The 27,700-nt window shown below is 46.8% G+C and overlaps 1 protein-coding gene and 1 pseudogene across 6 annotated transcripts in view, besides 6 other annotated features; one reads left to right on the top strand and one right to left on the bottom strand.

Moving 5' to 3' along the window:
* Positions 1–868: an enhancer, noted in NCBI's record as "H3K27ac-H3K4me1 hESC enhancer chr12:110804451-110805318 (GRCh37/hg19 assembly coordinates)". NCBI's record gives its function as "activates a minimal SCP1, AML or CMV promoter by ChIP-STARR-seq in naive H9 embryonic stem cells {active_cell/tissue: H9 hESC(naive)}" and the evidence as "EXISTENCE:reporter gene assay evidence [ECO:0000049][PMID:30033119]".
* Positions 869–1,737: an enhancer, noted in NCBI's record as "H3K27ac-H3K4me1 hESC enhancer chr12:110803582-110804450 (GRCh37/hg19 assembly coordinates)". NCBI's record gives its function as "activates a minimal SCP1, AML or CMV promoter by ChIP-STARR-seq in naive H9 embryonic stem cells {active_cell/tissue: H9 hESC(naive)}" and the evidence as "EXISTENCE:reporter gene assay evidence [ECO:0000049][PMID:30033119]".
* Positions 6,768–7,062, top strand: RN7SL769P (RNA, 7SL, cytoplasmic 769, pseudogene; annotated as a pseudogene).
* Positions 15,941–16,141: a silencer, noted in NCBI's record as "peak1946 fragment used in MPRA reporter construct". NCBI's record gives its function as "represses an SCP1 promoter by STARR-seq MPRAs in K562 erythroleukemia cells {active_cell/tissue: K562}" and the evidence as "EXISTENCE:reporter gene assay evidence [ECO:0000049][PMID:32103011]".
* The window catches only part of ATP2A2 (ATPase sarcoplasmic/endoplasmic reticulum Ca2+ transporting 2), a 70,478-nt gene continuing 59,198 nt past the window's right edge, over positions 16,421–27,700 (bottom strand). For 3 of the 6 annotated variants that reach the window (NM_001413015.1, NM_170665.4, NM_001413013.1), the window contains 7 exons: positions 26,520–26,855; positions 25,066–25,286; positions 24,080–24,282; positions 22,543–22,628; positions 22,132–22,265; positions 21,396–21,513; positions 16,421–21,313 (listed from right to left, as the gene is read on the bottom strand). In NM_001413015.1, the coding sequence (NP_001399944.1) occupies positions 21,044–21,313; positions 21,396–21,513; positions 22,132–22,265; positions 22,543–22,628; positions 24,080–24,282; positions 25,066–25,286; positions 26,520–26,855 (1,368 nt within the window). In that variant the 3' untranslated portion in view covers positions 16,421–21,043. The remainder of the gene's footprint in view (positions 21,314–21,395; positions 21,514–22,131; positions 22,266–22,542; positions 22,629–24,079; positions 24,283–25,065; positions 25,287–26,519; positions 26,856–27,700) is intronic. The other 3 variants (NM_001413014.1, XM_011538402.4, NM_001681.4) reach the window with 3 other exon arrangements.
* Positions 17,774–18,321: an enhancer, noted in NCBI's record as "H3K27ac-H3K4me1 hESC enhancer chr12:110786998-110787545 (GRCh37/hg19 assembly coordinates)". NCBI's record gives its function as "activates a minimal SCP1, AML or CMV promoter by ChIP-STARR-seq in naive H9 embryonic stem cells {active_cell/tissue: H9 hESC(naive)}" and the evidence as "EXISTENCE:reporter gene assay evidence [ECO:0000049][PMID:30033119]".
* Positions 21,731–22,930: an enhancer, noted in NCBI's record as "MED14-independent group 3 enhancer chr12:110782389-110783588 (GRCh37/hg19 assembly coordinates)". NCBI's record gives its function as "activates an origin of replication core promoter dependent on BRD2, BRD4, P300/CBP and CDK7 cofactors, and independent of MED14, by STARR-seq in HCT116 cells {active_cell/tissue: HCT116}" and the evidence as "EXISTENCE:reporter gene assay evidence [ECO:0000049][PMID:35650434]".
* Positions 25,814–27,013: an enhancer, noted in NCBI's record as "MED14-independent group 3 enhancer chr12:110778306-110779505 (GRCh37/hg19 assembly coordinates)". NCBI's record gives its function as "activates an origin of replication core promoter dependent on BRD2, BRD4, P300/CBP and CDK7 cofactors, and independent of MED14, by STARR-seq in HCT116 cells {active_cell/tissue: HCT116}" and the evidence as "EXISTENCE:reporter gene assay evidence [ECO:0000049][PMID:35650434]".

Below are 27,700 nucleotides of genomic sequence, written 5' to 3'. Positions count from 1 at the left end.
TGCCCTGGAGTTTCAGTATGGTCTTAACGGATCTCTCTGCAATTGTATCATATATTCTGTTCCAGAGAAAACAGCCACACTAAGCCCGCCTCACCGTCTGTTGCTGCAGGCCTCAGCCTTGCTTTGTCTAAAGGCTGCAGACAGTCTGGCAAGGACAGCGCGTCACGACACAGCTCTCGCTGGCCACTTAAATCTTCCAGTGTCTCTCTCTTTATAAACAACCCTCTGGTGACCTCCTTTGTGCTATTTTTTTTCCTTCTTTGGGTAAATTCTCAGCAGGGGGATTTTGGAGTGAGAGTATAATCTTTTTTGGAACTTTCAAGGGACCTGGCTGGCTTGTCCTCTCTGCGTGGCAAACACATATGCCCAGGTTAGCCCGGCAGCCACCCTGTCTACCCAGGGAGCCCCTCCGTGGGCTTCAGGTTAGGGGCAAACCAGGAGCTCTGCAGTCTCTTGAGCGTCTGCTCCGCTTCCTCTTGCTGGAGCTAGGAGCTTGTGCTCTCTGCGATCCTCTCAGGCCTCCCCCTTAGCTTTCTCCTGGCTGTGGGATTTGGGGTCCCTCCCCCTCGCCTGGCTCTGCAGTTGGGGTATTTCCTGGACTGAGGTCAGTTCCTCCCCTGTTGAGGGCTGAGGGAGACTGTGCTTGATGAGGTTTTGTGTGTGTTGGGGTCGGGGGGGTGCTGGCTGCTTGTATCGTCCCTGAGTCCCCCTCCTTCAGTGCCGCCTCAGAGGTACCCACCCTCCTCACTAGGAGGGCTGAGGCCTGGGGGAGGGCCTCTCTCCACCCTCGGGAAGCCTCTGCCTCTGCCTCATGGCCTGTCACTGGCTGTGTGGCTATGGGCAGCTCCCTTGGGTTCTCTGTACCTCCATGTTCCTTTGGTATAAGACTCAGAGAGTTGGGTCTTCCACTGTCGTCAGGTGGGGGCATAACATGAAAGGGGCCTTGTAGCAGGGGTGGCAGCACTTGGAGCCCTCGGAGGGGTGTATGGGTGGGGAGCAGCCTCTGAGGGCTAAACCTTGGTCCTTGTCAGGCCAGCATCCCTGAGGATGGTAACCTTGCCTTCTGCCCTGTGGGCTAGGACCCCTTTGGCACTAGATCAGTGGATTTGACCTGAACCCCTAAGTGCTGGGCCTGGTCTTGCGTAAGCAAGAGGCCCAGGGAAGTTATTTTTTTCATGTTTGGGTCATCCTCTACCCATGACCTAGTCAGCTGGCCCCTCGGCCCACGGGCCCATCTTCCCTATCAGTCTCCATGGGGCAACAGAGGTTTGGTCTAGGAATTGAGTAGGAACCACAGCCAGCAGGGGTCTGTCCTTCAGACAAGGTGGCTCCCAGACTGAAGCCCCAGCCTTGAGGGGCCCAAACGAGCTGACACCAGGACCCCTGCAGGCCCAGGCCACTCCCCACATCTGTGCTGCTGCTGTTTGGTGAAGCCTACTAGTGTGACAGGAAGGGAGAGAGGTGACCTCGTGTATATCCCCCTACTGGAGCTTGTTCCAGAATGCTGGGCATAGACACAAGCCACGCAGTGACCTGGAGGCAGCTTCTGTCCTCCTAGGGGAGGCCAGGGAGGGGCCCTCTCTGAGTCAAGGCTGTGTGGAGACCCCTGAGCAGATCTGGGAGAGTGGTCCCTGTGCATAATGAACCTCCAGTGAGCCCAGGCCAAGAGCCTGCCTGGGGCCTGGCAGGGATTTCTTGATTATTTTAATAAAAATGGGACATTGGTGAAATACAGCATACATACAGAAGCATGTGAAAGCATAGTAGAAGTGTTTACAAAACCACAGGAAAAATGTGTACACAACCACCCAGGTCACAAAATAGAACATTTCCAGGACCCCCACACGCCTGTGCGCCAGGCTGATCCCAGCTGGCCCTACTCCTCTAGCCCCACTCCTGCCAGAAGTACCCATGAGTGAATTTTGTTTTATTACTTCTTTTATTTTGTGACCCTGAAAGTCTTTTGAAGCTTGGGTAAATAACAACCTCATTTTTCTTATCTGTAAAATAATACCATTGTTCCCTTGTTTCATTTTTATTTTTACCACATTTTTATCCTAAACAACACTTTTTTTTTTCTTTTGTGGCAGAATCTTGCTCTGTCACCCAGGCTGGAGTACGGTGGTTTGATCTTGGCTCGCTGCAACCTCTGCCTCCCAGATTCAAGCAATTCTCCTGCCTCAGTCTCCCAAGTAGCTGGGATTACAAGCACCCACCCCACCATGGCCAGATAATTTTTTTTTTTTTTTTGAGATGGAGTTTTGCTCTGTCACCCAGGCTGGAGTGCAGTGGCGCAATCTCGGCTCACTGCAAGCTCCGCCTCCCGGGTTCACACCATTCTCCTGCCTCAGCCTCCCGAGTAGCTGGGACTACAGGCGCCCGCCACCACGCCTGGCTAATTTTTTGTATTTTTCATAGAGATGGGGTTTCACCGTGTTAGCCAGGATGGTCTCAATCTCCTGACCTCGTGATCCGCCCGCCTCGGCCTCCCAAAGTACTGGGATTACAGGCATGAGCCACCATGCCCAGCCTTTTTTTTTTTTTTTTTTTTTTTGAGCCAGAGTCTCAGTCTCCCACCCAGGTTGGAGTGTGTAGTGGTGTGATTTTGGCTCACTGCAACCTCTGCCTCCTGGGTTCAAGCAATCCTTCCACCTCAGCCTCCCAAGTAGCTGGGATTACAGGTGTGCACCACCATGCCCAGCTAATTTTTTTTCTTTTTTGTATTTTTAGTAGAGACAGGGTTCTACAATGTTGGCCAGGCTGGTCTCAAACTCCTGACCTCATGATCCGCCCACCTTGGCTTCCCAAAGTGCTGGGATTACAGGCATGAGCCACCATGCCCGGCAATTATTTATTTATTTGCTTGTTTTGAACTTTGAATGTTGTATGTTGTTCCATGATTATCATTTATTTATTTATTTATTTATTTATTTATTTATTTATGAGATGGAGTCTAGCTTTGTCACCCAGGCTGGAATACAGTAGGGCAATCTCGGCTCACTGCAAACGCCACCTCCTGGGTTCAAGTGATTCTCCTGCCTCAACCTCACAAGTAGCTGGGATCACAGGCATATGCCACCACACCAGGCTAATTTTTGTATTGTTAGTAGAGATGGGGTTTCACCATGCTGGCCAGGCTGGTCTCAAACTCCTGGTCTTAAGTGATCTGCCCACCTCAACCTCCCAAAGTGCTGGGATTACAGGCGTGAGCCACCGCTCCCAGCCCCTAATTTTTTTTTCTTTTTATTAAAAAAAAAATCTAGGCTGGGCACAGTGACTCACGCCTGTAATCCCAGCACTTTGGGAGGCCAAGGCGGGCAGATCACGAGGTCAGGAGATCGAGACCATCCTGGCTAACATGGTGAAACCCCGTCTCTACTAAAAATACAAAAAAATTAGCTGGGCGTGGTGGCGGGCGCCTGTAATCCCAGCTACTCAGGAGGCTGAGGCAGGAGAATGGCGTGAACCCAGGAGGCGGAGCTTGCAGTGAGCCGAGATCGCGCCACTGCACTCCAGCCAGGGTGACAGAGCGAGACTCCATCTTAAAAAAAAAAAAATGTAACAGATGGGGTCTCACTAAGTTGAGCAGGCTGGTTTCAAACTCCTGGCCTCAAGCAGTCCTCCATCTCAGCCTCCCAAATTACTAGCATTACAGGCATGAGCCACCACACCTGGCCTAATGTTTTGTATTTTTTGTAGAGATGGGGTTTAACATGTTGCCCAGGCTGGTCTCGAACACGTGAGCTCAACCAATCTGCTTGCCTTGGCTTCCCAAAGTGATGGGATTATAGGTGTGAGCCACTGTGCCCAACCTGGAGTATTTTTAATAGACTATTTTTAGAACAGTTTTAGATTTGCAGAAAAATTGGGTGGATAGCACAGAAAGTAACCACGTGTTCCCCCCCACACACACAGTTTCCCCTATTGTTAATATCTTACAGTACCATGGAACATTTATCACAATTAATGAGCCAACATTGATACTTTTTTTTTTTTTTTTTTTGAGATGGAGTCTTGCCCTGTCGTCACCCAGGCTGGAGTGCAATGGCACAATCTCGGCTCACTGCAAGCTCCGCTTCCTGGGTTCAAACAATTCTTCTGCCTCAGCCTCCCACGTAGCTGGGATTATAAGTGCCCGCCACCACGCCCAGCTAATTTTTTGTATTTTTAGTAGAGACAGGGTTTCACCCTGTTGGCCAGGTTGGTCTTGAACTCCTCACCTTGTGATCCGCCTGCCTCGGGCCTCCCAAAGTGTTGGGATTACAGGCATGAGCCACTGTGCCCAGCCGATACATTATTATTAACTAAAGTCCATGGTTTTTCAGATTTGCTTTTTTTTTTTTTTTTTTTGAGATGGAGTCTCGCTCTGTCACTCAGGCTGGAGTGCAGTGGTGTGATCTCGGCTCACTGCAACCTCTACCTCCTGGGTTCAAGTGATTCTCCTGCCTCAGCCTCCCCCCACCACCTTCAGTTAATGTTTTGTGTTTATAGTAGAGTCAGGGTTTTGCCGTGTTGGCCAGGCTGGTCTCGAACTCCTGACCTCAGGTGATCTACCTGTCTCGGCCTCCCAAAGTGTTGGGATTACAGGCATAAGCCACCACACCTGGCCCAGATTTACTCAGTTTTTTTCCTAATGTCCTTTTTCTGTTTCAGAATCTCATCTAAGATTCCACATTACATAGTCATCATGTCTCCTTAGGCTCCTCATGGCTATCAGTTTCTCACACTTGTTTTTACTAACTTTGTCAGTTTTGAGGAGTACTCGTCAAGGGTTTTGTAGGGTGCCTTATTCAGTTTTCATTGCAATATAAGAATCTGCGTGGATATAAGGTATCCATTTTATTCTGTTGATGGACTTTTTTTTCTAACTTTTTGTTTCAAACTGCTTCTGCTATGTATTTTATTTTTACAGAAATATATAATGTACAAATCAACATGCTCACCTGCAGCACTTTGTTCCATTTCCTCACTAACTGGGTATTATCAATCTTTAATTTTCTCCAATACACTGTGTGTGAGATGACATAGTTACTGTAATTTAGATTTTCCTGTTTTGTAATAATATTGAACAATATTTTATATATTTAGTAACGATTTTGCAGAGGAATGATTTCCTCTTCTCTGAAATTCCTGTTGTTTTGCCTACTTTTCTATTGGATTATCTTGTTCTCATTAATTCATAGTCATTCTTTGTATATTCTAGATACAATTTCGAACATGAGTTGGCAATATCTTCTTCCAGTTTATGGCTTGTCATTCTCTGTGGTATCTTTTGGTTAACAGAGGGTCTTAATTTTAATATAGTTGAATCTTTTTCTTTATGGTTGTGCTTTACAATTCTTTTTCTTTTTGAGATGGAGTCTTACTCTGTCCCTCAGGCTGGAGTGCAGTGGCGCGATCTCTGCCCACTGCAACCTCAGCCTCCCGAGTAGCTGGGACTACAGGTGTGTGCCACCAAGCCTGGCTAATTTTTTTTTTTTTTTTTTTTTTTTTTTTTTAAGTAGAGACGGGGTTTCACTGTGTTAGCCAGGATGGTCTTGATCTCCTGATCTCGTGATCCACTCACCTCGGCCTCCCAAAGTGCTGGGATTACAAGCGTGAGCCACCGTGCCCGGCCCGTGTTTTACAATTCTTAAGAAATCCTTCCTTACTCAAGGTCAAAATGTACTCTCTATGGTGTGATGTAGGGATCCAATTTTATTGGTTTTTAGTATTATTTTTTGAGACAGAGTCTCGCTGTGTTGCCCAGGCTGGAGTACAGTGGCATGATCTCAGCTCACTGCAATCTCCTCCTCTCAGGTTCAAATGTTTCTCCTACCTCAGCCTCCCGAGTAGCTGGGATTACAGGCATGCTCCACCACACCCAGCTAATTTTTTTGTATTTTTAGTAGTGATGGGATTTCGCTATGTTGGCCAGGCTGGTCACAAGCTCCTGCCTTCAAGTGATCTGCCCACCTCAGCCTGCCAGTGCTGGGATTATAGGCATGAGCCATTAACCCTGGCCTATATATATATCCTTTTAAGATTCACACATAATAAGTCAGAGCAGTTTTCTTTTTTTCTTTCTAAATAGACTAGACAGCAATTTTCAAAAAGGGAAATTATGAAATTTCCCCACCCTGCCTGCCTTCTAGTTGCCTCTCTAGAAGGAACCATAGTTACTAGTTTCTCATGTATTTTTCCAGAAATAATTTGAAATCACATAAGTGGATATGCATATGCCACCCCCCTTTTGTATTTGCACAGTTCATCAGCAGAGTTTATAAAAAGTAAAGTCTTTTTTTTTTTTAAGTCTTGCTCTGTTGCCCAGGCTGGAATGCAGTGGTGCACTCTCGGCTCACTGCAACCTCTGCCTCCTGGGCTCAAGCGATTTTCCTGCCTCAGCCTCCCAAGTAGCTGAGATTACAGGTGCCTGTCACCACGCCGGACAAATTTTTGTAGTTTTAGTAGAGACGGGGTTTCACCATGCTAGCCATGCTGATCTTGAACTCCTGACCTCAGATAATCCACCCGCCTTGGCCTCGCAAAGTGCTGGGATTACAGGCTTGAGCCACCGTACCCAGCCAAAACTCTCATTTTTTTTTTCTTTTTTTGTTTTTGAGACAGTGTCTTACTCTGTCACCCAGGTTGGAGTACAGTGGCATGATCACAGCTCACTGCAGCCTCAACCTCCTGGGCTCAAACCATTCTCCCACCTCAGCCTCCCACTTAGCTGGGACCACAGGCACGTGCCTGCACATCTGGCTAATTAAAAAATTTTTTTTTTTGCCAGGCACAGTGGCGTGTGCCTGTAGTCCCAGCTACTTGGGAGGCTGAGGTGCAAGGATCGCTTGAGCCCCAGAGTTCTGGGCTGCAGTGCACTATGCCAATCGGGTGTTTGCGCTAAGTTCGGCATCAAGATGGTGACCTCCAGGGAGTGGGGGGCCACCAGGTTGCCTAAGGAGGGGTGAACTGGCCCAGGTCAGAAACGGAGCAGGTCAGAACTCCTGTGCTGATCGGTGGTGGGATCATGCCTGTGAATAGCCACTGCACTACAGCCTGGGCAACATAGCGAGACCCTGTAATTAAAAAAAAAACTGTGGCCAGGCATCGTGGCTTACGCCTGTAATCCCAACACTTTGGGAGGCTGAGGTGGGCAGATCATGAGGTCAGGAGTTCAAAACCAGCCTGATCAACATGATGAAACCCCGTCTCTACTAAAAGTACAAAAATTAGCCGGGCGTGGTGGCGCGTGCCTGTAATCCCAGCTACTCAGGAGGCTGAGGCAGGAGAATTGCTTGAACCCCGAAGGTGGAGGTTACAGTGAGCTGAGATTGCGCCACTGCACTCCAGCCTGGGCGACAGAGCAAGACTCTGTCTCAAAAAAAAAAAAAAAAATGCTGAGGCGGGTGGGTCACCTGAGGTCAGGAGTTTGATACTAGCCTGGCCAACATAGTGAAGCGCCCCGTCTCTACTGAAAATACAAAAAATTAGCTGGGCATGGTGATGTAAACCTGTAATCCCAGCTACTCGGGAGGCTGAAGCAGGAGAATTGCATGAACCTGGGAGATGGAGTTTGCAGTGAGCCGAGATTGTGCCATGAGACACTGTGCCTGGTTAAGTCCCAGTTTTCAATAGAATCTGTTTCTTAAACAGGTTATGATTGATAAATATAAAAAAAAATAAATGTTAAAGTTTGTACATTCTTAGTCACAAATCAAGGCATTTTGAGTAATTTCCAAACTTAAAAAACACATTTTTATGATTTCTACTTATTTATTTTCTTGAGACAGGGTCTCACTCTTGTGCAAGCTGGAGTGCAGTGGCGTGATCGTGGCTCACTTCAGCATCAACCTCCCAGGCTCAAGTGATCCTCCTGCCTCAGCCTCCCTAGTAGCTGGGACTACAGGCACACGTCACCACACTCGGCTAATTTTTTTTTTTTTTAGATGGAGTCTCACTCTGTCGCCCAGTAATTTCCAAACTTACAAAATACATTTTTATGATTGCTACTTATGTGCACCACACCTGGCTAATTTTTGTATTTTTAGTAGAGATGGGGTTTCACCATGTTGATCAGGCTTGTCTCGAACTCCTGACCTCATGATCTGCCCACCTCAGCCTCCCAAAGTGCTGGGATTATAGGCATGAGCTACTGTGTCCGGCCTTGGCTAATTTTTTGTAGCAACAAGGTTCTCACTATGTTACTCAGGCTGGTCTCGAACTCCTGGGCTCAAGTGATCCTTCTGCCTTGGCCTCCCAAATTACCGGGATTACAGGTGTGAGCTACTGCACCCAGCCTCTACTTATTTTGATGGAAAAACATCCAATTTAAACTTTACCAACACTCACTGGCTGACTACTGGACATGTTTTTCTCTCCTCCCCCTGCAGGGAGTCCTGTCAGAAGTACAGATTGCTAGGCTGGGCACGGTGGCTCATGCTTGTAATCCCAGCACTTTGGGAGGCTGAGGCGGATGGATCACGAGGTCAGGAGATCGAGACCATCCTGTCTAACACAGTGAAACCTGGCTCTACTAAAAATACAGAAAAAAAAAATTAGCTGGGCGTGGTGGCAGGTGCCTGTAGTCCCAACTACTTGGGAGGCTGAGGCAGGAGAATAGCGTGAACCTGGAAGGCGGAGCTTGCAGTGAGCTAAGATCATGCCACTGCACTCCAGCCTGGGCAACAGTGCGAGACTCTGTCTCAAAAAAAAAAAAAAAAAAATGTACAGATTGCTTTCCAAAATAGGAATGTCTCAGCCATGCTAAAATCATTCTCTTGTAATAGAGGAACAGGAATAACATATTTAGTATATTCTTAAAACGTTGTTATTGATTATATTTGGGGTTGGAATCTATCATCTTATCCTTGCTATTCTGTAATTTTAGGTTCCTTTTTTTCCTTCAGGCAGCATGCTAGTCTGGCCTGTGTTTCTGTTCCTTTAGTGGTTATCCTAGGAATTGCAATGTATTTATTTAACATATCCACACCTAAAGTTAACTGATGTCTTTACTGTCTGTCCTCTTGGATGACAAAAGCTCTCAGATCATTTAAATTCTGTTTACACCCACCCCATCTGGAGTTTCCCTTAGTGTGGGTCTGCTGATGAAGAACTGTTTCTTTCTTTTCTTTCTTTTTTTTTTTTTTTTTTTGAGACAGGGTCTCACTGTGTTGCTCAGGCTGGAGTGGTATGATCTCGGCTCACTACAACCTCCATCTTCCAGGCTCAAGTGATTCTCCTGCCTCAGACTCCTGAGTAGCTGGGATTACAGATGTGCACCACTACCGCCCAGCTAGTTTTTGTATTTTTAGTAGAGATGGGGTTTCACCATGTTGGGCCAGGCTGGTCTCAAACTCTTGACCTCAAATGGTCCTCCCACCTTGGCCTCTGAAAGTGCTGGGATTACAGGCATGAGCCACTGTGCCCGGCCTGAACCCTGTTTTTGCCTAAAAATATCTTTATTTCACCCTGAATACTATATGCTTAAATACTACATACTCTCTCCAGGTTGCCATTAATCGCCTTCAGCACATGAAGCTGCCATCCCGTTGGTTTCTGGCTTTCATTGTTACTGTTGTAATGTCAGTCTCCTTTGAAGATGATATTTACCTCTGCCCCGTCCCCCACTGCTCTTAAGATTTTCTTTGGTTTTCTGCAGTTTATTACTAGGGCTGGAATGATTGACTTCTCTCTCTCTTTTTTTTTTTTTTTTTTTTTTTTTTTTTTTGAGATAGGATCTGGCTCTGTCCTTCAGGCTGGGAAGTGCGGTGGTGCAATCTCAGCTCACTGCAACCTCCGCCTCCCAGACTCAAGACATCCTCCCGCCTCAGCCTCCAAAGTAGCTGGGAATGCGGAATATAGGAATGTACTACCATGCCCACCTAATTTTTGTTTTTGTTTTTTTCGGTAGAGATGGTTTTTTGCTGTTTCCCAGGTTGGTTTCAAAGTACTGGGCTCAAGCAGCCCTCCCACCTTGGGCCTCCCAAAGTGCTGAGATTACGTGTGTGAACCACCATACCTAGCCTGGATTTCTTTTTAGTTATCCTGTATCCTGGACTTAAGTGATCCTCCCATCTCAGCCTCCCGAGTAGCTGCACAGGCATGCGCCACCACACCCAGTAAAAAAAATTTTTTTTTAATTAGCCAGATGTGACAGCATGTGCCTGTGGTCCAGGCTGGAGTGCAGTGGTATACTCATGGCCACTGCAGCTTCCACCTTCTGGCCTCAAGTGATCTTCCTGCCTCAGCTTCCCAAGTAGCCGAGACTGTTCCATACTCCTGGGCTCAAGTGATCCTCCAGCTTCAGTCTCACAAAGTGCTGAGATTACAGGCGTGAGCCACTGTGCCTGGCCCTCTTTTGAAGGTAGTGAAATGTATATTTGACTTTGTCGCTTTTCTCAGTCTGTCTTCTAGGTATCTTACCTTTCCTGCATGTTTTCTAGCCTTTTCTCCCCACCCTCACCTTCTGCTGCATTCTAATTAATTTATTCTCATCGACCATTTCATTATTATTATTATTATTTTTTGAGACAGAGTTTCGCTCTTGTTGCTCAGGCTGGAGTGCAATAGCACGATCTCGTTTCACTGCAACCTCTACTTCCCGGGTTCAAGTGATTCTCCTGCCTCAGTCTCCCAAGTAGCTGGGATTACAGGCTACTGCCACCAGGCTGGGCTAATTTTGTATTTTCAGTAGAGACGGGATTTCTCCATGTTGGTCAGGCTGGTCTCAAACTCCCGACCTCAGGTGATCTGCCTGCCTTGGCCTCCGAAAGTGCTGGGATTACAGGCGTGAGCCACCGCGCCCAGCCTCATTCATTATTTTGCTGTGTCAATTTTGATGCCACATCCAACCATGAAGTTGTTTTGTTTTTGTTTTTGTTTTTTTTTTTTGCGACAGGCAGGGTCTTGCTGTGTTCAGGCTAGAGTCCAGTGGTGCAGTCAGCTCACTGTAACCTCAAACTCCTGTGCCCACGTGATCCTCACGCCTTGGGCCCCTCAGTAGCTGGGACTACAGGCATGTGCTACTATGCCAGGATAATTTTTAATTTTTATTTATTTATTTTTTTGAGACGGAGTCTCAATCGCCCAGCCAGGCTGGAGTGCAATGGCGCAATCTCTGCTCACTGCAACCTACGCCCCCCGGGTTCAAACGATTCTCCTGCCTCAGCCTCCCAAGTAGCTGGGTTTACAGGTGCCTGCCACTTCACCTGGCTATTTTTTTTTTTTTTTGTATTTTTAGTAAACACGGGGTCTCCCCATCTTGGCCAGGCTGGTCTTGAACTGCTGACCTCGCGATCCACCCTCCTCAGCTTCCCAAAGTGCTGGGATTACAGTCATGAGCCACCTTGCCTGGCCAATTTTTAAATTTTTTGCCGATTTGAGGTCTCACTATATTGCCCAGGCTGGCCAACCTTTTTTTTATTCTTTTTTTTGGTGAGATGGAGTCTCCCTCTGTTGCCCAGGCTGGGGTGCAGTGGTGCAATCTCGGCTCACTGCAAGCTCCGCCTCCTGGGTTCACACCATCCTCCTGCCTCAGCCTCCTGAGTAGCTGGGACTACAGGCGCCCGCCACCATGCCTGGCTAATTTCTTTCTTTCTTTTTTTTTTTTTTGTATTTTTAGTAGAGATGGGGTTTCACCATGTTAGCCAGGATGATCTCAATCTCCTGACCTCATGATCCACCTGCCTTGGCCTCCCAGTGCTGGGATTACAGGCGTGAGCCACCGCGCCCGGCCTTTTTTTTTTTTTTTTTGTGGAGACAGAGTCTCTCTCTGTTGCCCAGCCGAGAATGCAGTGGCTTGATCTCGGCTCACTGCTGCAACCTCCGCCTCCCAGGTTTAAGCGATTCTCCTGCCTCAGCCTCCTGAGTAGCTGGGATTACAGGCATGCACCATCATGCCCAGGTAATTTTTTTGTATTTTTAGTAGAGATGGGGTTTCACCATGTTGATCAGGCTGGTCTTGAACTCCTGACCTCAAGTGATCCAACTACCTTGGCCTCCCAAAGTGCTGGGATTACAGGCGTGAGCCACTGCACCTGGCCCCATTCGTTTTTACATTCTGATGATTATACTTTTCTCACTTTCCTGGTTTGATGACCTCAACAGTTTTGAGGAATACCAGTCAGGGATTTTTCGTTTGGGGATTGGTCAGGTGTTTTCTGATGATGATTAGACTGAGGTTGTGTATTTTGAGAGGAAGACCACAAAGGTAAAATGCCATTTTCATCACTTCAGATCAAGGGCCCATGCTTTCAAGATGACGCCCCCTGGCTGAGGTAGCATGTCAGGTCTCCACAGTGACGGGCACTTTCCCATCCCTACTGTATGTACTCTTTGGAACATTGCACAGCCCACAGAGGAGGTGAGTCTCCACCTCCTGAGGCAGTGTCCATGTAAATTACTTGGAATTCTGCATGGAAGATTTGTAGTCACCCCCATTTATTTATTTGTTTATGTCAGCGTGGACTTATGGATATTTATACTTTGGATTCTAGTCCAATACTGCTTTATTTTGTTGCTCACATTCTTCGGCTGTTGTGGCTTTTTCAGTTGGCTCCTGTGTTCCTTTCACATAACCACATCTTTGATTGCTGTTTTTGAGCCCTTCCTTTCTGGTGCTTTGGTATTCTTCAGGCACGTACTGTACGTTTTCTGTCCCATCTCTAGAATCAGCCATTTCTCCAAGGAGCCCTTTTTTACTGGAGAATGGCATTAGAAACCTAACACTGGAAGCCAAGTGTGTTCATTGCCTTCTGAGCTGACAGTACAAGGAAATGCATGTGTGTAGTGACCAGTGTATATACACATCACAGTCAGCAGTTTTTCTTTTTTCCTTTTCTTGAAACAGGCTCTCGCTGCGTCGTGCAGGGTGGAGTGCACTGGTGTGATCTTGTCCTGCTGGGTTCAGGTGATCCTCCTGCCTCAGCCTCCAGAGTAGCTGGGACTACAGGCAGGCACCACCATGCCTGGCTAATTTTTAAAATTTTTTGTAGATGTGGGGTCTCACTGTGTTGCCCAGGCTGGTCTCAAACTGCTGGGCTCCTCATCCTCCTGCCTCAGCCTCCTAAAGTGCTGAGATTATAGGCGTGAGTCACTGTGCCTCGCCACTATCAGTGTTTCTATATGAAACCATCCGTACATATGAAGCTAAACATGACTTCATCCTGATATCTCCGGCTCTAATTCATTACCACATGGATTATTCTAGCTTCCTCCCCTTGCTTATCTTAGCTTCTCCCCTTGCTTCCTCTGCTTCCTCCCACTCCAACAGAGAGACCTGGCTTCCACCATCTGCCATCTATATGCAGCATTTTGTTATTCTCAGCAACTGTCATTACTAGAAACTGTTAACTTCCTTCTGTTTCTAAAAAATGGTAGATTATAATACAAACTGCTCTGTAATTGAATATTTCCCTGGGCAGACAACGTATATCAGACATCATTCCTTGCTCGTACACACGTGTACCTTGTCTTTTTCAAAGGCTGCACGGTATTCCATGGTTTGAATGCTCTCTACCTTATTCAGTTCTTGCCTCTTGATGAACATCAGCTTATTTCCACTCTTCTGCTACAAGAGTGCAGTAGGGATTATACTTTTTGAACATATGGGAGGATTTCAGGAAAGTGAAGTTCTTGATCAAAGGATATAGATATTTAAAAATCTGAGAGCTGTGTGTGGTAGCTTATGCTTGTAATCCCAGCGACTAGGGGAGCTGACATGAGAGGGTCACTAGAGGCCAGGAGTTCAAGACCAGCCTGGGCAAGTAGCAAGATCCCATTTCTACCAAAAATTATAAAATTTGCCAGGTGTGGTAGTGTGCACTTATAGTCTTAGCTACTCAAGAGGCTGAGGCAGGAGGATCGCTTGAACCCAGGAGGTTGAGGCTGCAGCAAGCCATGATGGCACCGTTGCACCCCAGCCTGGGACACTGTCACTTCCCACCCTCCCCAAAAATGAAAATCTGACACGCAAACAGGCATAATGAACACCTCTGTCTATACTTTCCTTACTGATAGGTAAAGCAGTATCTGCCTTTCCTCGTCTCCGCCCCTCTCCCTCACTGAATTAACCACTATCGATTCGGGCTTTCACAGCCTCTGGCTGATGTCCACAAACTCATTACCAATCTGTTTGGTACTAGTCCACGTTGATGTACACTCTGGTGTACACACTTTCTCTCAGCCAGCCTGGCCCGTGGGCCACGTTTAGAGGATATGAGGCGGTATTGTGCATATTGATATGTTGCTGCACTTGGCTTCACTGTTCAGGATTTATTTAGGTTGATAACGTAGTTCTAGCTTATTTCATAGCTGAGCATCATCTGAATATGCCTGAATGTACTCACCCATTTTCCTGCTGGTGGTTTCATTTTTCTCCAAAAACTCTGCTGTGGCTCTTCCCCATGTGTGAGATTCTCTAGGAGTGGACCTGCTTGGGGCGGGGGCAGGGGTAAGGGTGTTGAGAACACCTCTAGGCTGAGTGATTTCGGTCATTCCCTAGAGTTCATCCTCGCAAGCTGCTCCATCCTTGGCATCAGAAGACCCACTTCTCGAGACGTTACCTCGTGATTTTAATTTGCCAGTGGAGTTGAGCATCTTTTCACATGAGCTATTTGTTTTCTCTCGTTTACACCATTTAACCATGTTTCTTTTGGGGGTATAGTTGCATTTTCCAAGTATTTTGATCCGTTTGCAATTTATTGGGTGTAAGGGATACAGCTTTATTTTTCTCAAGATGACCCCCCACATAATAATCCAACTATTACCTACTAAGCTGAAACACCACCCTTCTCAAGTGATGCACTGAATTACCATAGCTTTAAGAGGTTTGGTGTGCTTCCTTGGTTTTTGTCTGCCTGATGTTTGTTAGGATTGGCCTAAGGCCACCATTGGTATTCTCATATATCAGTATGAATTATATGTCACTCCCATTCAGCTGTCAATTTTCCCTGAATCATTAAACATTTCTAACTAGGAACAAAATAGTTCCTGTCTAGGAACATTGACCCAGTATGACCCCTGATCGCTTTTTGTTCATTCCAAGGCATTTTTTCCTTCTCGTGCCCGATTGTACTGACTAGCACCTCTAGAACAGTGTTTGGTAGTGGGCAAGAGTGGACTTGGAATGCAACTCTAAAGCGTTAACACTTTTGGTTTCTAATAATAAATGGTACATAGGAATAATTTTTAGAAAATGGATGTTAAATTTTATCAAATTTTTTTTCTCCATCAGCAGAACTGATCAGTAGAGTCTCGCTGTGTCGCCCAGGCTGGAATGCAGTGGCACGTTCACGCCATTCATTCTCTTGCCTCAGCCTCCTGAGTAGCTGGGACTACAGGCAACTGCCACCATGCCCAGCTAATTTTTTGTATTTTCGTTGTTGTTTTTTTTTTTTTTTTTTGAGACGGAGTCTTGCTCTGTCACCCAGGCTGGAGTGCAATGGTGCGATCTCGGCTCACTGCAAGCTCCGCCTCCCGGGTTCATGCCGTTCTCCTGCCTCAGCCTCCTGAGTAGCTGGGACTATAGGCACCCACCACCACGCCCGGCTAATTTTTTGAATTTTTAGTGGAGACGGGGTTTCACCATGTTAGCCAGGATGGTCTCAATCTCCTGACCTCATGATTCGCCCGCCTCGGCCTCCCAAAGTGCTGGGATTACAGGCGTGAGCCACCGCACCCGGCAATTTTTTTTAGTAGAGACGGGGTTTCATCGTGTTAGCCAGGATGGTCTCGATCTCCTACCTTGTGATCTGCCTGCCTCGGCCTCCCAAAGTGCTGGGATTGCAGGCGTGAGCCACCGTGCCTACCCAGAACTGATAGTTTTAAAAATTAGATTTATAGAATCATCCAGCTATCCTTGTATCCTGGTATTTTTTAAAGTGATAAAGAATCATCTTAGGGAATGTGCAAAACCAAAAACCCAATCCCAAACCCATCACTGCCAAATAAGCACTAAAGTAACCAGCAAATGAATTCCAACAGCTGCTTCAGTTCTGTTCACCTCTCCATCCCATACCTATCAACAACGGGGAATGTGGAAGTTTTGGATCTGAACAGCCTAAGAAACATCTCTCCATTGCTAGTCTCCAGATCTTTCCAGGCTGCTAACAATGGAGAGCGCGGAGTCTTGGCTTTCTTCACCACACTGACGAGTGAGGCCTTGTGTGTTTAAGACCCCACTGGTAACACACACTCAGCTTCCCCCATCCTTAAAGGGTAGGGAGCCAGGGTGGGCTTCACATGGGCGGACCTGCTGCCAGTCAGCCTGTCTACTGTGAAGTCGAGTCCAAGAGGTTCCTGTCCCCTCTAGTCACATGGCCACCCTGCCCAGACTGAGCCTCCCCTGCTTCCCTGTAGAGGGGCAGGCCCGGGTGCGGAGTGGAGGCCCTTGGTGCCCATCAGTCCCCCTCCCACAGAACAGTCACCACCACACTGAGAATTTATCATAGAATAGATTTATTTACCTGAAACCATGTCTGTGCGACGCTCATTGTTACCAGCACAGAAAGAAACAAACTGATCTCTATTTACAGTCTAAAGTCAAACATGCGCAGTGATAAATTGACATTTAGCATTTTATTAAGATAAATGCATCACAATATTTGTATTGCACCAACATCTGTCTACTGCTTCTGATTTCATTAAATAAGTTACATTTAATACAGTGCGAAATAGCTGTCTGCACACTCAGAAAATAACTGAAAATGAACTGGAGGCCTACATTTTAACCATTCAACACCTGTAGTGTTTTTAATGAATTTATAAATAAGCAAACTGTACAGGGCCAATTAAAAAGTAGCATGTTCCAATGTCACTGGAGAGGGATCTGGCTACTTACAACCGAAGGCATGCATTACAATTGAATACTGTACATTTATATAAGCTATGACATTTTGCAGAGAAATGTGGCGACTTGGCTGACGGCTTCCAAGTTCTTAGATAAGGTTACAGAGCCTCATTCCTCTTGCAGCAAAGAAACCAAACTTCTCTGGAGAGGCTTTCTGATTAAGCTAAATTGTACATCTGTAATCAGTATTTTGATTTAAAAGCTAACAACCCCATTGGTAATACACATTTCCTCCACATAACACAAAGTGAGTTGGGAAGTTTTTTACTTTTCTTTTTCCCCAACATCAGTCATGCACAGGGTTGGTAGATGTGTTGCTAAAAACGCACATGCACGCAACCGAACACCCTTACATTTCTGCAAAATGGTTTAGGAAGCGGTTACTCCAGTATTGCTGAAAAGGAAAGAGAGAGGAAATCAGCTTCATGAAATACAGAGAGGAAACGTTAGAATACCTATTTAAATAGATGAAGATCAACAGCGACAGATGAAAAGGAACATTCAGCTTGATCTTTTCAAGGTTTCAAGACCAGCATTTCTGATTTACTGTCCCTGAGGTGCCGCCCACACAGGGTAGCATCTAGAAGCACTGGCTCAGTGACACAGACTCCTCGTGTCGTCTGGCTACAGAATAAAGGCTCTGGAGGAAAACCCCATGAGGCAGACACAATCGTTGCAGCTGTGAAAGCAGCGAGACAGGCAAGAGGACAAGGTCTTGGTTAGTGGTGCAGAGGGTGAGGTTGATGGAGAAGTGAGCAGCCAGTAGCAGCACAGCCTTCCTGTCCCTGCCCTGTGGGCACCCGGCTTCTGGCTGCTCGCCTGCCTTGCCTAGCCCTGGAGAGGAAACTCCTCCGCATCATTCTCCTCAGTAAAGGAGGGTGAAGCCTACCCTTCTTGCTAACTGCAGCGGGTGTTTGGACAATTTGGTGGTTACAGTCACAGGGCAACTGCTGGCTCTGCTCACAGGCACTGCAGACGTGGTATGCTCTGGCCCTGGACAGTGGCTAGATGCTTGGTAGACACTGAGCTAATCTTGTGGTCTCAGGTCTTAGGTCTGCCCACCTCAGTCAGGGCTGAAGCTCCAGTCCGAGGGGATGTGGGAGCAGCTGTTGTGAGGGAAGTCGGCCAGATGCCCTGCTTGCCTGGGAGCTCACTGAGCTCAAGGGACAGCTTCCTCCAGAATGGATCATCTGCATTCTGCAGAGTGGTGTCCCAGTTAGGGTATGTATGATTGTTGGTCTTCTGGGCAAAGCTCAGAGAGGCCAAGGGAGGCACGGGGTGGCAACAAGCGACACTGATGGCTGGGCCTTCAGCCACCTGCCCATCAGGAAAGAATGTGGAAGTAAGTTTCAGGCAAGAGCTGCCTGACAGCAGGCACATTGCGGGGCTGGGCAGCTGCTGCCTCACTGTTAGGTGAGGGCCTGAGGCCAGGGATGTGCCAAGACCACGGTGCTGGACCTGGTCTTTATGGGTTGACCTGAGGAGGAGATGCTGAAGTGTTTTCACCCAGCAAAGCCTTCAGTGAAATGGAGCAAGTGGCCCTGCTCAAAACAGCAGTGGGCCTAACCCACTCCCAGCTGTCTGGACCAAGGGAAGTGGGTCCCTCCATGGGCTCCTCTGTGGGCTGGAGGGGTCTGAAGCTGAGAAACCATGAAGCTAACTAGGGGCTGTGCGACAGCAGGCCACACACTACTCAACTTTTTTTGTAAAGGCCACTAAGTCAAGGAACTGAGTCAGGAAAAGCTGAGTTTTGTTTGCACGGAATAGCAATAGTGCAGCACTCAAGTCAGTTTGCAGCCCAGAGATGCACTCCTTGCATTTGGCCCATTCAACCCATTTCTTGTTACACCTCATGATGCTCAAACTGGCAAAATTTACCCCCTGCCCCAAATGTTCCCTGCTGGGCAAAGCAGCCTCCCTTCCCGAGAGCCACAGCTGCCTGCGAGCAGCCTTGGAGGCTTCACAGTAAGGCTGATTTTTTTTTGACAGGGCCTCACTCTGTTGCCCAGGCTGGTTTGAGTACCTGGGCTCAAGCAATCCTTCTGCTGTGGCCTCCAAAGGGCTGAGACTTACTTACAGGCATGAGCCACCACACCCAACCACGGACTGTGCTTTTAAGAGTCGGTCTCCAGGTTCCACCTCCATCCCTTGAACGTGGGCCCTCTGAACTCAGCAGCACCTTGTCCTGCTTGATGCCTCCTAACCCTCCCCAAACTCCAACCATCTGCATTACATCTACTGGCCATCCCAGTAACCAGAGCCTAAGTACATTTTGAAGAATATAGTCGAGGCCTCACACCCTGGCTAAGGAGTAAGCTGGTTTTTGGGCTGTGCAGAGCCACGTCCTACTAACTGTGCTTTAACATCCCCTGCAGAGCTAAGTCTTAGCCACCAAGGACAAGACCAAGCAAGGGGGGGTGGGGGAGTGGGGAAGTGGCCTATTTAAGACGAACCTATCGATACCCAGAGTTCACTGGTTCAGTTACTTGCTTTCACTAGTTTTTAGCTTTTTAATAAATAAGTAGCAATGTTCTGGGATGACTCCTGGCAGCTGCGAACCCTCATTTTAGCAATAGTCTGCACAGCTCCTTCAGCCTGTTGGTCTGGCTGAAATGCCTCTCTCCCCACTCCGGCTTTTGTCTGGCTTGGGCCCTCCTGGTCATCTTGTCCTAGGCAGCCTGTGGAGGTCTATGAAAGCCACACCTCCAGCCAGCTGATGCTGCGCCCGAGTCACATGGCAGGCGCCACAGGCAACCCCGGTGCTCACAGGGCATCAGGGAGCACAGCAGCATCTGCCATGGAGGCGGCTTATAAGTTAGTGACATACAGTTATCTCACTTGGTGGCAGTCACCTTTAGGCTAAAGCATCCAAATCCCAGGAAGAAAATACTCACGTTAGTTGATGGATGTTGGAAGGCATTGGAGGAAAACACCACAGTTAGGACTGTTAATGACTTACACACTGTTGGTGAGACTCATCTCGAACATGCGCAAACATTGATCGTAGTAACGGTGGTGGTGGTTAGTGCCACATTCAAATAAAAATAGTTCTATACAATATGTTCATTTGGTCATGTGCTATTTACAGATTTTACAAAACACACACATACACACACATACACACTTGCCCTTATGTTCTCTATACCAGGCCAGCAGAAACTTGCATAAAATGTACATCACAGATGACAATTAGTGCCTGTACATTAAGAATACAATTCCTATGACTACCTACACAGCAGAGCAGGAGCCTTCTTCCCCTCAAGCAGAGTACAACTAAAGTTCTGAGCTAAGAACTGGAGAGAAAGTTGGACATGTCTGTTAGTCCCAGGTAAGCCACTTACGAGTTAAAGACAAGACAGTTATTTTTCTCTGTCCATTTAAAATGTTTTATTTTTTTAAAACTAGATGACGTGCCACTGAAATAGGCAATGTTGGCAAAACAATGTCTGTTACAATAAAATACATTAGACATTTAAATAAATAACCTTAAAAACTATGTGAAGGGACATAAACCCAGTCGATTGAATCTGGAACAATGTTTTCTGCACAAGCGAGTACAGGCATACCTCTCGTTAAAACTGATGTAAACAGAACGAACCATCACAATCCTAAAGAAGAAGCCAAGCGGGGCGGGGGTAAGGTGGGGAGAGGTGGGGTGGGGTGGGGTGAACGGAGGCCAAAGTGGGTGAGGGAAGTAGCAAACCAAAACAATACTGACTGAGGTAGCAAGACTCTGCTCAGTGCAGAAAAATTGGCTTATGAATAAAAATTAGACTGTGATATCAAATTAAATCCGGATCATCATGCAAAAGACACAATACATGCTATTTAGTTTTAGAAAAAAAACCACACACATTCATTTCCTAAAATCTGCTGCCAATTAATTTGCTGACAATGTCTGCTGGCTCAACTATTTTTTTTATACAAGGATGAGTATTAAACAGAACACTGTACATGCTTTTTCATCTACAAAAAAATATTTGCATAAAATAGTGTTAGTTCTCTGTACATGTCAATGGACACTTTAATTATGTGTATAAAAAAGGAAAATCTTGCCCCACTGGAGTCAGAAAAAGCAAAACAAAATCTAGAGTATGAAACCTCCATCACCAGCCAGTATGTTCATGTGAAAATTCAGCAGAAATAGACAGTTGCTTTAAACAATAAAAAAATTAATTGATTAAGTTAAACATCTTCTTTATGGAAAACTGTCAGTCAAGACCAGAACATATCGCTAAAGTTAGTGTCTGTGCTATAGACCCAGATCACCAGGGGCATTATGAGCAGCACAAACGGCCAGGAAATCCCATCGGTGCATGCCGAGAACGAGCAGGATTTGGTGGCAGGCTGCACACACTCTTTACCAGGTTCCAGGTAGTTGCGGGCCACAAACTTGAGCGTCTCATCCATGAGAATCACGGGCAAGGAGATTTTCAGCACCATCAGCCACTGGGTCACGTTCAGCGGTGTGATCTGGAAGATGAGCTGACACACAGGGAAGACGTGTCACGCCTCCAGCCTCCCCTGGAAGGAGGTGGCTGGTCCCAAGCCCCACCCAACCACTTACTGGCAAGGGTTCGACATAGAGGATCAGGAAGTGGAGTGACATGGACAGGCAGATGGAGCCCACGAGCCAGATGTTCTCCCAGGGGGGCATCCTCAGCAAGGACTGGTTTTCGGACAAGCTGCAGAGCAAGGAGAGGTGGGGAAACGCACCCCCAAGGCAAGGCACGTGTCACAGTGGCAGTAAGACCCTGTTGGACTACACTTCAGTAAGGCGGCTGTTAATGTGGCACCATCCGCTGACCTACCTCCACTTTCTACAGTGGCAAAGTTGAAGAGAATGTCCTAATGCAGGACAAACTGTGAATTCTGTATCTATGTTTTGGCATAGCAGACCCCATCTTAGTGGGTTCAAAGCTGTTCCCAATTGCCCTGGAGACTTGGGCTATTTAGAAATTTCCATTTTTGTCACGGGCTTAACTGGATGGTACCATTTGTCTGTGTGAAAGGGTGAGGTTCCTTCCCTGTGGGTGCTGGCATACAGGGGTACCAAAGTTCCTATTTTTGGCCCCCACGGTTTCTTTTAAGGAAGAGCTCCTAAGAAACACAGGGCTAAGCACTCCCACTACTTCCTGGAGGTGACGACAGCTCATGCTTTTAAAACTGGTATTGCCTGTTCTCCTTTCTTTTGGGAAGGGAAGAACTGTCCTGTGATCCTCAATCAACCGTGACTACACACAATTCCCCGGTGCCCTGGCAGTCACCATGCTCGCCTCAGCCTGCCGTGAAGGTGCACTAACCTGTTGAGGGCGTTACACATTTCTATAGTTACTAGAACAGAGAGCGCCATTGTCATCGGGTATGGGGATTCAAAGATTGCACAATCCACGCCTTCAAAGTCCGGGTTGTCCTCTTTACACTGTAGGAAATGACTCTGCAAGAAAATCCAATCAAATTCCTATCAGCCCAGTATATTTCCCAAGTCCAGGCTCCAACCCCATACCAAGCCTAGCACAGACCAGCCTGAATGCAGAGCCAGCCAAGAGGTTTACCCCAATTTCTCGGAGAAGCCCTGGTCCTTCAGAATCATCTTAGATGTAACTGTTTATTGTCTGAGTCTTAAGATGATTTGATAGATACCGAAACCACAGAAAGGTCAAGGCCTCACAACACTTCTCATGTAAGGTACAGAAAGAAAGGTGACTGAGTACCAGCTGGTAGAAGGACACTCTTGGACCACCGTCAGCAGCAATGAACCACCATGCAGCAGCACCCACGGTAGCAGCGCCGACGTAACCTGGGAACAAACACAGTGATGCTGATGCACTTGCCTCTGCAGGGCTCGCTGCCACCGAGGCCATGCAGGCCAGTCCCCACAAGGACGAAGATCAAAGACATGGGACAGTGATGGTAACCGGGGCCTGTGGTGCTACCACCACCTGCTCACGCCTGGTAGCCAGAGCAACTAGACCCTGGTTTCTGAAGGACAGGGGTGTTTCTAGAACAGAAGAACTGGATAACTTTTCCTCCAGAATGTGTGAGAAAAAGCACTTGCTCCATCCTGTGCCAACCTTTCCCCTTGCCGTGCCTTCTCCCCTCAGTGGGTAGTACTTCAAGGCTGCAAGTGTGTGTGTACTCCATGTAAGGCTGCACAGTTTGAGGGACTAGATTACACCAGGACTTTTGGACAAACTATTGCTGCCTAGTTGTACACAGATTTATTTGCTCCATTAGAGGCCCAGCAGCAGTTTTCTAGGGAAATGCTGTCAGGAGCTAGGGTGGAACACTGAGCAGCATGGCCCTGCCCTCAGCAGCTTCTGGGATTCCCCCCAGTATTAGCTTTGAGTTCAGGAAGTTTATTGCAAAGAAGCAACAAGGTGCAGCAGAGAATACACAGAGTTCAGACGAGGCAAATATCCCCATGTGGTAGCATCAAAAACAACAAGTGCATATACCCACTAACCCACGAATTACAGTGGAGCATGAAGGCCGCTGGCTGCAAGGATGAGGCACTACGCATGTCCGGATATGGAAGGATCTGACAAGCAGGAAGAAGGCAAGACAAGGGTCAACATGCAGGTGTGCACAGCATGCTGGAATCTCTCCGGAAGGGCACAGGGTACATGAGCACCTCAACGCCAGAGGGAAGTGACTGGCCCAAACCCTTTCCATTCTATGCCATTGTGTGCTTTTTGAATTTGAAGTCATGTGAATATATTATGAAAACACAATGCCTTCCTATGGGATCCCAGGGAAGTGATTTCACCTCACTTTCCCAATCTATGAAATGGGGAAGAACCCGGGGTGAGGAAGATGAGGGCTAAAGAGATGATTTATATATAAAAGGGACCAGCCACTGCGCAACCCTTCTCTTATGGAAACAGGGACTAAATTTTATAACTTGGTGACAATTATCTATTTAAATCCCACCTATGAACTCTTGGAAGGCAGAACCTAGCGTGAATCATTCTTATCCCTTTGCACAGAGGGCTCAATCTGAAAACCCTGATGTTTAATTGCTCATTCAGAAAAGCCCAAGTAAGGGCAGGATGCTAAAACTGGAACTAACTGTGAAAGGACTCTGGTAAATTGGATGTATAGTTCATCGAACTGTAAGAGGGCATCTCTGTCTTTTGCTACCCTATACGGGGATAGAAGAAAAAACACGCTTTTAAGGGATGAATTTACAAAATTTCAGCTCACAAACATTTTGTTTAAAAATCAGTAATATAAAAAAATTGTACTCACAGCCAATAGCCAAGTAACGGAAAAAGAGCCACCCGCTGATCAATGGTTCCTTTGGGTTCCGGGGAGGTTTATTCATGATGTCCAGATCAGGAGGGTTGAACCCCAGTGCAGTGGCAGGCAGGCCATCTGTCACCAGATTGACCCAGAGCAGCTGAACAGGAATCAAAGCCTCGGGAAATCCAAGGGCTGCTGTCAGGAAAATACTGTTTCCAATCAAGAAAAGAAGACAAAGAGAGCCCAAATGACTTCTGGCCACTATTTAAAGAGCATCATCAACCCGCCCTCCTCCAGAAAAATAAATGACAACAACTTCAGGTAATCTGTAAAATACTTATACCCAATTTTGAATTAAAGCTCAATTTTACTTAGTTTATTACTTAAATTCAGATGACTGAGGCCAGGTGCGGTGGCTTATGCCTGTAATCCCAGCACTTTGGGAAGCCAAGGTGGGCAGACTGGCTGAGCTCAGCAGTTAAGAGACCAGCCTGGGCAACATGGTGAAACCTCATTTCTACTAAAACACAAAAAAATGGCAGGGAGTGGTGGCGCATGCCTGTAATCCCAGCTGTTCGGGAGGCTTGAACCCAGGAGGTGGAGGGGACAGTGAGCTGAGATCGTGCCACTGCCCGAAGCCTGGGCGACAGCGAGACTGTCTCAAAAAAATAAATAAAAATAAAAAAATTATTAAGCTGACTGAGATAAAGCCAACTTTTGGAGGGCAAGAATTTCATGTGACTACCTGGTTAATGTTAGCTCAGTCTCACGTTAAAGAGGATTCTTTGCACATTGGGGCAGCTGCAGACAACCCTCCCGAGGGCCAAAGCACCACTGCTTCCATAAGGCATTTCTGTCTTGCCCACTCCCCTCTTCCAACTCAGGCACAAAGACCAAAGCTGCTGCAATCTGGAGAGCAAACTGCGAGAACTGGGCTCCATGACCCATTTAGATAAAGGCGTACAGTAAGTGATGCTGTCACAGAGACCTACCAGACAACTTCCCCGACGTTGGACGAGATGAGGTAGCGGATGAACTGTTTCATGTTGTTGTAGATTGCCCGCCCCTCCTCAACGGCAGCCACAATGGTGGAGAAGTTGTCATCCGCCAGGACCATCTCAGAGGCGGTTTTAGCCACCGCAGTGCCAGAGCCCATAGCAATGCCAATCTCGGCTTTCTTCAGAGCAGGAGCATCGTTCACGCCATCGCCAGTCTGAAAGGGAAAGCAATGGTTGGGTCAGCCAACTGGCATGCCACATTCATACCCCTAGGCAAAAGCCCACTGAATGGGAAGCAGGAGGAAAATGAATAGAGCCGTAGGTCTCTTGGCAAAGAGTTTTAGAATTTTTGTTTCATAAGTTGGTGTCACAAAACACATTTTACCTAGGAAATGTAAAATTACCAAATAAGTTTACCGAAGTGGGACAAAGGGGACTTCAAATTTATCTGTATTATCTTACTAAAAACAAAAACACAACCTATGTGGCAGTCAAGAGGAAGCACTTGTATCCACATGGATAAATTTCAAGTAGAAAGATGCAGATTGCAAAAATATGCAAATTTTTATTTTTCTGAGATGGAGTCCCGCTCTGTCGCCCAGGCTGTAGTGCAGTGGCGCAGTCTCGGCTCACTGCACGCCTCCTGGGTTCAAGCGATTCTCCTGCCTCAATCTCCCGAGTAGCTGGGATTACAGGCGCCCACCACCACACCCAGCAATTTTTTGTATTTTTAGTACAGACGGGGTTTCACCATGTTGGCCAGGCTGGTCTTGAACTCCTGACCCCAAGTGATTCACCTGCCTCGGCCTCCCAAGTGTTGGGGTTACAGGCATGAGCCACTGCACTCGGCCAAAAAATATGCCTTCAAAAGCATGCAAAAATAATACTGTCTACAGACACAAAAACAGCACTCCCATGTTTTTAATATTTTTGCTAAATTCCAACTTCAGTTACCTCTGGGGGAGAGGAGAGTACACTTATAGTATGTTTCAAAACTAAGATTTTTTTTTAAAAGAGAAGAAAGTAAATTTAACATAATGTATCTGGGTGAAAATCAGGTGAGGGGAAGAATACTGGAAATGCTTCATCAATAGCCAGCTCTTAAAGAACTTAAAAGCAGGGTGATCCAAACAACTGACTGATTACATCCTCAATTTTCAGAAAACTTACAATAAAAACACGTCTCATTTAAAAAAGAGACTAGATCACCAGATTGTTCCTCTGGGACTGATCTGGAAGGCCCTTCTGGGTTTTAAACGACTCTAGGATCTTCCCTGCAAGTAGCACACAACATGCTAACCACTGATTCACCGAATTCTAGAGAAAAGACCCAAATCATGACAAATTCCAAATTAGGGAGCTATGACAAAAAAATTCAGTGGTCAAAATTAGAGGCTACTATGTGCTTGTGTAGCCTGAGTCACCTGTACATGTTCAAACATGCTCACCATAGCTGTAATCTCATCAAAAGACTGAAGAAATTCTACGATTTTAGACTTGTGGGAGGGTTCAACTCGAGCAAAACAGCGGGCGTTCAGGCAGGCGTCTCGCTGGGCGGAGGGGTTGAGTTCATCAAACTCCCGGCCTGTGAAAGCTTTTGACGTCACGTCCTCATCCTGCCCGAAGATGCCGATGCGGCGACAGATGGCCACAGCAGTGCCCTTGTTGTCCCCAGTGATCATGATGACCCGGATGCCTGCTTGCCGGCACAGCTTCACGGAGGAGGCCACCTCGATTCTCGGAGGATCCAGCATGCCCACGCAGCCAACGAAGGTCAGATTGGTCTAAAATAAGAGCATCACTTTAAATAAAAGTGGCAAGTTCTAGTTTTTGTCCCCTAGTTTGAAAAATGCCCAGTTAAACATTGAGACAGGTTTCTGCATTTTTTTTCTTTTTTTTTTTTTGAGGCGGAGTTTCGCTCTTGTTGCCCAGGCTGGAGTGCCATGGCGCAATCTCAGCTCACTGCGACCTCCGCCTCCCAGGTTCAAGAGACTCTTCTGCCTCAGCCTCCAGGGTAGCTGGGACTACAGGTATGCGCCACCACACCTGGCTAATTTTGTATTTTTAGTAGAGATGTGGTTTCTCCATGTTGGTCAGGCTGGTCTCAAACCCCCAACCCCAGGTGATCTGCCAGCCTCGGCCTCCCAAAGTGCTGAGATTACAGGCATTTGAGCCACCGTGCCTGGCGGTTTTTGCATTTTCTTATGAGAAAAAAAAATACCACTACACCCGTTATCAAACCATTCTTTAACTCTTGTGCTATTCTGAGCCCACAGTACCAAAGCTTCTTCATTTTGTTCATAGCTTTAGGATGTCACATCCTTGATATAAAAGAATTCTACTCTGAGTAGAAAAGTGGAAGTAATCTCCAACTTGGATCTTTTGACCTTCAGTAACTAATGAATATTCTAGAAATGTCACCAATTTAAAAAAAATCATGATTTAGATGAGAGGCAAAATGGGGTTTACAAGCTTAAGCTCATCTTGATTATTCTACTTTGAAAATATTCTACTTTGAAAATAACACTTTTATGAAATTATTAACTATGTATGTTTGAAGCAGCAAATTTTAAGGGTGACACAGCTGGCAGGCAGAAAAACAAATAACCACACCTCTTTCTTGGCAAAA

The sequence above is a fragment of the Homo sapiens genome, chromosome 12 (genome assembly GCF_000001405.40).
Source record: "Homo sapiens chromosome 12, GRCh38.p14 Primary Assembly".
Lineage (NCBI taxonomy): Eukaryota > Metazoa > Chordata > Mammalia > Primates > Hominidae > Homo > Homo sapiens.
Note: the sequence above shows the minus strand (reverse complement) of the source record. Positions and strands in the feature narration are given on the sequence as shown.